Source organism: Homo sapiens, chromosome 6, assembly GCF_000001405.40.
Source record: "Homo sapiens chromosome 6, GRCh38.p14 Primary Assembly".
NCBI classification, from domain to species: Eukaryota; Metazoa; Chordata; class Mammalia; order Primates; family Hominidae; genus Homo; species Homo sapiens.
In genome coordinates this window covers 9,694,707-9,706,614 of record NC_000006.12, presented here as the reverse complement: position 1 = coordinate 9,706,614, position 11,908 = coordinate 9,694,707, and the positions used below count along the sequence as shown (strand labels likewise).

The window sequence follows — 11,908 nt, the reverse complement described above, 5'->3', positions numbered from 1 at the left end:
AAGATATATACGTAAATGGCCAGGCGTGGTGGCTCACGCCTGTAATCCCAGCACTTTGGGAGGCCGAGGTGGGTGGATCACAAGGTCAGGAGATCGAGACCATCCTGGCTAACACGGTGAAACCCTGTCTCTCCTAAAAATAAAAATAAAAAATTAGCCGGGCGTGGTGGCGGGCACCTGTAGTCCCAGCTACTCGGGAGGCTGAGGCAGGAGAATGGCATGAACCTGGGAGGTAGAGCTTGCAGTGAGCCGAGATCGCGCCACTGCACTCCAGCCTGGGCGACAGAGCGAGACTCCGTTTCAAAAAAAAAAGAAGTGTACGTACATTACTTTATTTGATATTCACATAAGAACAAAACATAAAACTTTATTTGAAGCACAGGTCAAGGAGTGGATAAAACAAACAACTCCTTTTAGTAGATGGCGGATAAATAGAATGCACAAGCAGGATTAACTATGAAACAGCTTTACATAGGCTGAAATTCAGGGGAGGGAAAACTTCAAGTGAAATAAAGTCTCACTGCACAGAAAGACAGTGGCAAAGCTTGGGTTGAGGGTGCTTGAATGACTGGGTTCAGATTGGATCTAACCCTTGGGTTAGGTCCTTCAACTGTGTCTAGTTGACTCTTTTAGAACAACAAAGGAGTAAGATATTTTGGTTGTTAGCGGTGACAGTGTCATTTTTGTTGTATCTGGGAATCTTGTTACAAGAATCATGAGTAAAATTAATCCGTTATGCTAAAACTCTAAAGGATTATTAGATTTTACATCTAGTTCTCATTTCTGTTAAAGATTGACACAGTAGAAAGTTCACTGGTATATTTTGCATTTTAAATAGCCTGCTAAAATGTACCGTGTGAACTGCACAAATGCTCTTAGTCTTTAGAATGCTCTGTTCAGTGGCTCAAATTGATATACTTTCTATGGTGGCACAGAACACTTACAACAACAATAAACAGGACAGAGTTTGCCTTTTCCTGGAAAGCAACATGTTGAGGGGCTGGGAAAAGATGAAAACTTCTAACAATACATTTGGGGGTACTACTAAGTGTCAAGTTTTCTGTATTTAAGAAAAAGAAAACAAAACAGAGTTCTTTAAATTGGTTCGCACACTTGGCATTTGGTGCAGTTCCTCTTGTTTGCCCCTATATGATTGCCTTGTTTTCCCACAGATTCCATTTTTCTCTTCACATCGTTGAGCTTTGCTACCCAACTTCCTCACTTCACATTGGAGAAGAGCTTCCCGTGGTTGTGATGGGGCCTTTAATGCTGAATGCAATCCTGCTTCTTTTGGTTTTGATCAGATGGGGCTGTCAGCTACTCTTTGCCTCCTGTCCTGATGTCTTGTCAAAGTTAATCATTACCATGGGACTATGGACAATTCTGGACCCATTGGCAGTGTTTATACTGGATACTCTCCTGGGGGTAAGTCAAATGAAATAATCAGGATATGAGTCCTTGACATAGAGTTTAGCTTTAGTGGATGAATCATTTGACATGGAAAGTTTCAATCATAATGAACAATCAGTATGCATCTTAAATCGAAGTTAAGTTTCTTCTGATAAAAAAGTCATGGATGTCTAATATAATCAATTTAAGTGTAATTTTAACTCTCATAAATAAACACTTGAAAAATATGCCAGAAGTCATGTTGAAGATCAAATCCTAGCTAGCAGTCACATTTTTAACGTTATTACAAAGAAACTTTATTTTGTTATATTCTTTTGGTAACTTCTTTTAGGTAACTTTTTTAATATTAAGGATTTTCATAGGCAAATTTTGCAAAAAGGTAATTGTGCAGTAGTTCCTTTAATTGGTTAGGTTACTTACTGACTATGATGTAATACTCTCCTGCAAGAAATACAGTCAAGAATGAAAGCTTTTTAAACATTTCTAAGTAATAAATGTATTTTAAAAATTACCATATAGGCATTTATTTAGACTTTTTTAATGATATTGAAGTGACATGGTGCATTTTCACCTTAAAATATATATTTCTAGGATTTCATAATTATGAATGATGTATTAAGATACATAATGACATGTAAATAATGGCAATAACGATTCTAATATTTGAAGAGTGCTCTTGTATTTTTCAAGCATCTTCACACAATGTCTTTGATTACATATTTATGACAATCCTGTAAGTTGATGGGGTAAGTATTCTTCTCACTTTACAGCTGGGAGAAACCAGATACAGAATTACATGACTTATCTGAGGCCATATAGCCAGTTCACACTGCACCCAGGACTGGGACCCAGATTTCTGAATTCTGAGGATGATGTTTCTTCCATCATGTTAAAATCTCCACTTCAAGCTTTCAGGGAATATATTGCTTTGTGAAATCAAATGTATGCTATCCCTGATGATAATTTTTTGATTACCCCAAAATATTTAATTTACCAATGAATTTGGGGGCTATAATTTGAGGCAAAAATGATGTGGCTCTTAGTGTAAATTTATTACCATATCCAAATCTCTCGTTGCTTTGAATTCACAAGGCGTGGGATTTCCTAGAGAGTGGTACTAAAACATACTGATTCTCAAACCTTATATTGTATCAGAATCTATTATAGGCTATGGTAAAAACAGATTGCTGGGCCCCATCCCCAGAGTTCTTCCTCTGGTGGGTCTGAAGTAGAGCTCAAGAATTTGCATTTCTAACAAATTTACAGATGACAGTGATGTTGTTGGTCAGGGACCACAGTTTGAGAACCACTGACATTATAGCTGCATAGGAAAGCTCTGATGAGCCGACTAAGAAGATCTAGGAATAGCAACATAGGTTGGAAGAGGTAAGCTCCTGCATAGGGAGGGCTCAATGGGGCATCCGTTCCTAGGCAAGGCTAGGCAGGCTCAATGGGGGATCCTTTCCTATCCTGCCTATTAGCCATGGCCCCTGACCTGCAATTTAGCAACTTTATCCAAGCTCCACTTAAATTGCCAAATGCTTTAGATTAAATCATCAAAGCAAAATTAAAAATACTGGCAAACAGTGGAATAATTCAAGCCAAGAAACACTTTACCTTGAAGTCATCACATTTGTAAGCAATTTCAACAGGCAAAAGAAGAGACATCTGAATTTTAACTAAATTTCTATACTGTATGCCTGGCCATAAAATATCACTCCAAACAAGAGAGCAGAGCAGATAGATACTATAAATTAATCAATATGATCAAATATTTACTTATAAAATTATCTTTATGAAATAATATTCCACATTTGGATATTTTTCCTTTTAACAAGAAAAAGGAAAGTTTCACAACTGGAATGTATGTGTTTGGATTATATTCACTGTACCAAGCAAATCATAGAGATGGGTGTTTTGATGGTCTCTACTTGTTAACTGTGTTTAAAATTGATTCTTTTTTCAATAACATGCTTTTAGAACATTTGCATCCATGAAGATATCTCCCACCTTGGGTGCTATAGTAGACAGCTAAGGTCAGCAGAGCCTGTCACCATTTTTCACTCTCTCAGGCCATAGCATGCTATAGCAGTGTTTCTCAAACTAATGTGCTTTCAAGTTCCCAGGGGATCTTATTAAAATGCACATTCCTGTTCTCACTTATATGTGGGAGCTAAATAATGAGTACAAATGAACACAGAGAGTAGAATAATAGACCTCAGAGACTTAAAAAGGTGGGAGGATGGAGGATGGAAGGGGCGTGAGGGATGAGAAATTGGCATGAGGGATGAGAAATTGGCATGAGGGATGAGAAATTACCTAATGGATGCAGTGTACACTAGTTGGGTGACGGTTACATGAAAAGTCCCAGATTTCACCACTACACAACATATTCATGTAACAAATCTGCACTTATAGTCTCTAAATCTATAAAAATAAAAATATATTTTAAAATGCACTTTCTGAGTTGGCAGGTAGCGCCTAGGATTCTTCATTTCTGATAGACTCCTAGATGGTGCCAACAATGCTAGTTCCATGGACCACACTGTGAGTAACAAGGTGCTACACACTTTGCTGAGAAGGCCTTTCCTTTCATTTTCCTGCTTGCCAGGCTGGGCTTTCGCTCACTGAGGATAGCTGGGCTGCTCTTCATAAGACTGGAGTTCTCGAAGATTTAAGTGCACTAATGTCTTTGTAGATTTCATGTGAGAATTCTGACTGCTTATTCCTGAGTGGAAATGGCCTCTGCCAGAAATGCCCAGAACCTGCCAACAAGTGTGATTGTTGGCTCTAACCATGTAGACCATTTAACATTATTAAAATGAACTAAACCAGTGCACCGGAAGCCCACTGCTGTATCTAGTTTCTAGTCCCACTGTTAGGGATTAGCGAAAGAATCATGTGCCGAGGAAAGCTCCTCAGTACTTGAAGCGCAGACCACTGTGTGAAGCCTCCATGCCTTGTAGCACCTTGACAACATGGCAGAAGAGGGAGCCTTTTGAGTTAGAAGTGGCTGTGTTTCCTACCCCATCTCTAAATTTTTTTCACCCTGCCGATTAGCACCCTGCTGATTCTCAGTGAACTGAGCTGCAGCCAGCTGGATAACATCTACGTTCCTACCTCTCATTCTCCAGGATAATAAGGTGACTGTGGCATCGAGGATTGATGAGCAGGAGATGTAGAGAGAAATGCTGTCTGCATTCTGAGTGGACCACCTTGCAATTTCTCCCAGATGCCTGATGTGCATATTGAGTAGACAGGGTGCTGGGGCTGGGCCTACAGCCACATCACATGTGAAGACATTTGGGGAGGATGAACAGCTGTCCCTATGGTCCTCTGAGATCTCCTTAGAAGGATGTCTGCAGCTCTCTTGGAAGGACTTTTCTTGTTTCAGTTAGTTCCCTCAGGCAGATAAATAGAAGACCAGTCCACTGTATCCAAGGCAGCTGACAAAATGAGCAGAACTTAATTTACTCTGGACCTCTGATGTAATCTATAGGAAAGTAACCTCCAGCATGGCCGTCTCAGAACCACTTCAGAGGTCTGCAACCTGATAAAGGCTGACTTGGGTTCCAGTAGATGTGTAGAGCACCCTTTTTTCTCTCCACTTGAAAAAAAAGGCTAAATTGTTTTCCAAATGTTCACAAGTTATTGGGCAGTTTGAATCCATCATGTTTTATTGCAGATGACATCTAATTTTGCTATCTTTTAAAAACCTCTAAAGCTGTCTCTAATCCACAGATAGACAGCATTAGAACCCTCTGGGAACCTGTAAAAATGCACTTGGACATGGCCACCTTTTGATTTGAAACATACTAACATATTCTCCAGGTGACTTGACAGCATACTGAAGTTTCAGAAGTATTGATTTAAATCTATGGTTCTCAAAGTGTGGTCCCTGGACCAACAGCATTAACATCACCTGAGAACTTAATAGAAATGCAGAATCTTAGGCCCTGCACCAAATTTACTGAGCTAGAAACGTTGGGAAGTGGCCCATCAATGTGTATATTAACAAGCCTTCCAGGTGATTCTGATGTTCATTAATTCTTGAAAACTACTCTTCCACATGGGGTTGCAGTTATCATGGGTTGAATGTCACTCGGGAGTCTCAGGTTGCCTGAGTTCATACCTCCAGATCCTTCAGCACTTCTTTTTAGCAGACAAAGCTGAGTATCTTCTGGGTTTGATCCAGGTCACCCAGCTCAGAGAGATGCTGCCTAATTTTACTGATATTTTCTGTCCTGAATTCATTTCATTTATGGAGATCTAAAAGGAGATGTGGCAGATGAATTGGTTTGAGGCTGAAGTGCTGAATGGCTGTTGATGTTGCTAGTAATTCTTTCTTAGTCCTTCAGTTTGTTGGCTCAGGGGTTGGCAACGCATTGATGATACTATGCTCAACAATTTCATTAAGTGGATAGATTATTTCTCTGCCTGAGCCCTAATCTGGATAAAAAGTAGAGGAAAGATTTGCTACTGAATGTTTTAGTCCATCAGCACATATTTATTGACTATATACTCTTTACATAGGATTTTAAAAGATGCAGAATAAATATGGCATAATTTCTACCCTCAATATAAATAGTGAGATAAGAATAAAACATGTAAGCAAAGATGAAAGGTAGAATGCAAACACTGTCATTCAGCAAATGATTCTTGAGACTCCACAACTTATTCCCTTTTGTGCTGCTATAATAAAATACCTGAGACTGGTTAATTTATAATGAACAGGAATTATTGGCTCATGGTTATGGAGTCTGGGAAGTCTGAGATTGAGGAACTGACATCCTGCAAGTGTTGGAGGCCGCACAAATGTTTCTTATGATTAGGCATAATTGAAGCCGGTCAGTAACAATATGAACCTGTGATCAATTAAGCAGCTGACCAATCGCTACCTCCTCCTCCTTGCTCTTGTTATCCAATAAATACAAAGGGTTGTAGAAGCTCGGGGCTGTCTTTGCTCACTAGAAGCAGGGAGCTTTCTTCTTCCCCATGCTAGCTTTTCCTTAAAATAGTTTCTTTTGTTTTTTGTTATCATTTCTATGTTTGTCCCTTCGTTCAGTCTTGTAATGACAGTCTCAAGCAGTAACCATAGCAACTGCCGTAATGACAGTCTCAAGTAGTAACCGTGGCAGTCAGCCACATGCAAGGGCCTTCTTGCTGTGTCATCCCGTGGCAGCAGAGCAAAGAGAGGATGACAGATGGTAAGAATTCAATCTTGCAGCCTCAAGCCCTTTTATAATTGGCATTAATCCATTCATGAGGGTGGACCCTTCATGACCTAAACACCTCCCATTAGGCTCTACCTCCAAACACTGTTGCACTGGGATTAAGCTTCCAACACATGCTTTAGGGAGACCCATTCAAACCACAAACACTCCATTAGAAGCGACCATGGAGTAGCAGAAAGACCACGGGGTGGAGTCAGAGAGAGCTGGGCTCTGGTCCCAGCTCCGCTATTTGTCACCTATATGATGTTGGATAGGCCAGTTTACCTCTTTGGTCTTCAGTGACCTCATATGCATCATGAGAAAGTAGTAATACCTACAAATACAAAATACCTAACTTACTCTTTTTATAGTGTTGTTGGGAAGATCAAATAAGAGACTAACTGGGAATAAACCTTGAAACATACATATAATTATATATATAATATATATATTTAACATAAAAGGAATAAAGATGAGAGTGTTAGAATGAAATGATGATGCTGTGCTCTGTGAATGACACAAGATGTAACAGCCATTGCCCCAATGGTCCAGGCTAGAACTTACAATCTAGTTGGAGAATCAAAATACACACACACACACACACACACACACACACACACAGATGTAGTATGGGCAGTGTGTGATGAATGCCATTTGGGAGGCACCTGGCTCATTCTCTTATATCCTTAGGTCTTTTCTTAGAGGCCATCTTTTTAGTGACACCTATTCTGACAGCAATATTTAGTGATATACTTCTATCCTTCCTATACCTCTTCTGGTTTATATTTTTCTTTATAATACCATCTTATGATGTATCATATTCAGTAAACTACTTATTTTAATCTTGCATATGTGCTTACTATCATTCACCTACCCCCTTCTCACCTAAATGTAAGCTCCAAGAGGGTAGAGATTTTGTCTAATTGTATTCACTCTTTTATCTTCAGTTCCTAGTGACACATAATGGGCATTCAATACATGTGGGTCAAAGAAAATAATTAGAATATATTGGTTAGATTATGTGATTGTCATCAAATATATATATATCATTTTTTGTTTCATTAATGAATCTCAAGTCTATTTCATTACCTTTAAGGAACAGCAGAAAGGTACGATGTGGAATAGGAGAGACTCATGATGACTTTTACAATCTACTGCCAAAAGTCCTGGCAGCAGACACACAATTTTGCAAGGTCAACTGGTTAACAAGTACAGAGTATAGAAATAAAAGTTTTGAGATGGTGCTCAAAGAAGCAGTAGTTGAGAATTGGAACATCTCAATTCTACTCACTGCCCAATCACTAAAGTATATTTTGGTAGAGGGAAAATACAAATGAATCTGCTTAGGCTTCTGTTTTCATCTACATGTAAGTGATTTGGATAAGCCTTTTTAAAAAGTGTCTTTTCAACCTATATTTATCATCAGTTTAATCATCGATTTAAAGACTAAAGAAATTCTTCCTTCTCTATTGCATTGGAGAAAAGATACCTTACTTAACATTTATACTGCATATTACTTCCACTTGATATCAAAAGACTTATAATTAAAGAACATCCATATTTTATAAAACTCAAAGGTCAAAGATGTCATATGATGATACTGTAGGTCCTTACAAATGTATATACTTTTAAAAACCCCATCGTGTTGCTTTTTTATTTCTAATCCAATGTAGAATATGTCTTTCCTTGTCTAAAATAAGGACTTATTGTTAAATTAACCTAATGTAAACTTGGTTTTCAAACTCACATTAAGTAGCCTGATAACTTTTTTATAAGTTTCTAAAATAAGCCATCTCTTTTATGCATAGCACAAATTAAATTCCTATCAAATCTGCTTCAGAAAGAAAGGACTCTTTTCACCATCATATTTAATTTCTTCATGTCTTGTGCTCATTAAATTCAGAAGTTAATAGTACATAAATAAAACATGGCTTTTACTTTATGAATTGCATGTCGAGTGTGTGCATGTAAAGGCTTAGAGGGAAGATGAGAAAAACCTGGTAAAGTAGCATGCAAAACCCAGCCTTTTTTCTTTTCCTTTGTGCACCTGAAAAGCTGGCAATCTTCAGTACCTAGAAGATTTAATTCTAAAACAAATTATAGGGTCACATAGTCTTTGTATCTTTACATTCACCTAACTTGGTGATCAGTGTTCCCATTCTGAGTTTTTCAAATCTGAATTTGCTTTTGTCAGCGGCTTACAGATAATGAGGAGACTCCTGTGGCGGATGCCGCGAAGCTCTACTGGATGTTTGTAAGAACCGTGCAGCCAGGCATTCTTGGCGTGGTGATCACAGTGCTGCTTTACATCCTCCTGTTCGTCATTTCTTCTTTGATTTTATATTTATATTGTCTTAGGTAAGGTGCTTCAATCACTTTGTTCTTCAGTGTGTTCAGCCTCCAGTCTTCTTATTACACATTTAGGCTGTGAGGACATGGTTAAAGAAGAGAAGTTAGAACCATCTCTGCATTGCTAAGGTAAACATTTATTTGGTTACCTGTAACCCTTGTCCTGAAGACCAGCCAGGAAATTATTTGACTTTAGGAAAATATTTTCCCCATTATAGAGAGAGCTAATTTTGCTGTGAATTATTAACTTGCTTCTCCAACCCAGAGACCAGTAGCAAACAAAGAGTAATCTCTTGATATCTAATGACATTCTGAGAAATTTCCTGAAAAGTTTGTCTTAAATCCTCTTTTTCTTTTCCTTCCAACCTGCTTCTTCCAACACTTTCCACCTCTGTTAAAGTCACCAACAGAAAAATTATTCTTCAGCTTTGATCCTGAATATCATGGATTTGGCTTGCCAGGTCATCAATTTAGCAAACAATGTATGTTTATGATGAAAGAAAAGAGAAGGAATAAATACAAGGTAGTATAAAAGTACTAGGAGGACGTTTTATTCTGTTGATTATTTCCTTTGCTGTGTAGAAGCTTTTTAGTTTGATGTAGTCCCACTTGTCTATTTTCACTTTTACTTTCTGTACTTTTGGTGTCTTATCCATGAAATCATTGCCAAGATCAATGTCATGAAGATATTCCCCTATGTTTTCTTCTAGGAATTTTACAGTTTCAGATCTTTTGTTTAGGTATTTAATCCATTTTGAGTTGATTTTTGTATTAACAAATGGTGTAAGATAAAGTTCTATTCTCATTCTTTTGCATGTGAATATTCAGTTTTCCCAGTGCCATTTGTAGAAGAGACTGTCCTTTCCCCATTGTGTTTTCTTGGCATCCTTGTTGAAGATTAGTTCACTGTATATGTATAGATTTGTTTCTGGGCTCTCTAGTCTGTAACATTGGTCTATATCTGTCTTTATGCCAGTACCATTCTGTTTTAATTACTGCAGCATTGCAGTATATTCTAGCAATTCCACTTCTGGGTATTTACCCGAAAGAATTGAAATCAGAACTTCAAGGAGACTTTAGCATTCTGTGTTCATTGCCGCACTGTTCACAATAGGCAAGACATGGAAACAGCCTAAATATCCATCAGTTGATGAATATATTATGTGGTACATACATTCAATGGAATATTATCATAAAAAAGAAAGAAGTCCTGTGATATGTAACAATGTGAATACATGTGTATAAACCTTAAGGACATTATGCTAAGTGAAATAAGCCAGTCACATAGTGTCAAATACTGCATGATTCCACGTATATGAAGTATCTAAATAAGTCAGACTCATAGAAGCAGAAAGCAGAATGATGATTTCCAGGGGATGAGGAGAAGGGTAAATATGGAGTTGCCATTCAAAGGGTAAAAATTTTGATTACAAATGATGATTAAGTTCCAGAGATCTGCAGTACAACATTGGATGTATAGTTACCAATATTGTATTGTGCACTTAATATTTTGTTAAGAGAATAGATCTCATGTTAAGTGTTCTCACCACCATTTTTAGCAAAGTGCCAGAAAGAGATCAACACAGGGATCTCTAGGAGCATTGAGAAAAGGAAACAACACAGCTCTGGTGGAGGATGTGGGCAATAGGTGAAGATTTCAGTGGAAATATGATACTTAAGTAATCATTGAAGGCTTAATATCATTTAGCTAGATAAAAAACAGAGAGAAAGGTTTGCAGGCAATGGGAAGATATATAAAACCTTATGTCCTTCAAAAGTGTGATGTATTTGGCAAATCAAATGTATTTTGACATGGCTGGTGTGCAGGATATAGGGAGATGGCAGTTAGCGGAGTTAAAGTTGGAAATGTATTCAAGGACCAGATGATAAAAGACTTGACATCATGCTATGGAGTTTGACTTTGTTCTAATGGTAAAGTGAAAACATTAAAGGATTTAACATTAACATTTAACTTTAGGAAAATCACTCTGATAGTAGAAGAAAAGGTGGGTTTAACAGTGCCCAGGTTGGAAGTAGGAAAATCTAATTAGAAAGCCATTTGATAATCTAGGCAAGGAGTGTCAAAAATTTTAAAGAGAATATCACTAAACATGGGAAGCATATATTTAAGAAATAGTTTTCTGCATATGGCTAGCCAGTTTTCCCAGCACCATTTATTGAATAGGAGATTCTTTCCCCATTGCTTATTTTTGTCAGGTTTGTTGAAGATCAGATGGCTGTAGATGTGTGGTGTTATTTCTGAAGTCTCTGTTCTGTTCCATTGGTCTATATGTCTGTTTTGGTACCAGTACCATGCTGCTTTGATTACTGTAGCCTTGTAATATAGTTTCAAGTCAGGTAGCATGATGCCTTCAGCTTTGCTCTTTTTGCTTAGAATTGTCTTGGCTCTATGGGGTCTTCTTTGATTCCATATGAAATTTAAAGTCTTTTTTTCTAATTCTGTGAAGAATGTAAATGGTAGTTTGATGGGAATAGCATTAAATCTATACGTTACTTTGAGCAGTATGGGCATTTCCATGATATTGATTCTTTCTGTCCATGAGGATGGAATGTTTTTCCATTTGTTTGTGTCCTCTCTTATTTCCTTGAGCAGTGGTTTGTAGTTCCCCTTGAAGAGGTCCTTCACATCCCTTGTTAGCAGTATTCCTAGGTATTTTATTCTCTTTCTAGCAATTGTGAATGGGATTTTGTTATGATTTGGCTCTCTGCTTGTCTATTGTTGGTGTAAAGGAATGCTTGTGATTTTTGCACGTTGTTTTCATATCCTGAGACTTTGCTGAAGCTGGTTATCAGTTTAAGTTTTTGGGTTAAGACAATGGGGCTTTCTAAATACAAAGTCATGTCATCTGCAAACAGAGACAATTTGACTTCCCCTTTTCCTATTTGAATACCCTTTATTTCTTTCTCTTGCCTGA

General features: G+C 37.8%; 1 long non-coding RNA gene and 1 pseudogene across 2 annotated transcripts in view; one reads left to right on the top strand and one right to left on the bottom strand.

The window, feature by feature from the left end:
* The window catches only part of OFCC1 (orofacial cleft 1 candidate 1 (pseudogene)), a 506,631-nt pseudogene extending 504,994 nt beyond the window's left edge, over positions 1-1,637 (top strand). Inside the window, exon 13 of the transcript NR_170155.1 lies at positions 1,173-1,637. The product of NR_170155.1 is annotated as an orofacial cleft 1 candidate 1 (pseudogene) (transcript). The remainder of the gene's footprint in view (positions 1-1,172) is intronic.
* Positions 1,638-8,473: 6,836 nt separating this feature from the next.
* On the bottom strand, positions 8,474-9,380 carry LOC124901484 (uncharacterized). The gene is made up of 2 exons (XR_007059910.1): positions 9,339-9,380; positions 8,474-9,048 (listed from the first exon to the last, which is right to left on the bottom strand). It is a non-coding gene; the product is annotated as an uncharacterized LOC124901484 (long non-coding RNA).
* Positions 9,381-11,908: the final 2,528 nt, after the last annotated feature.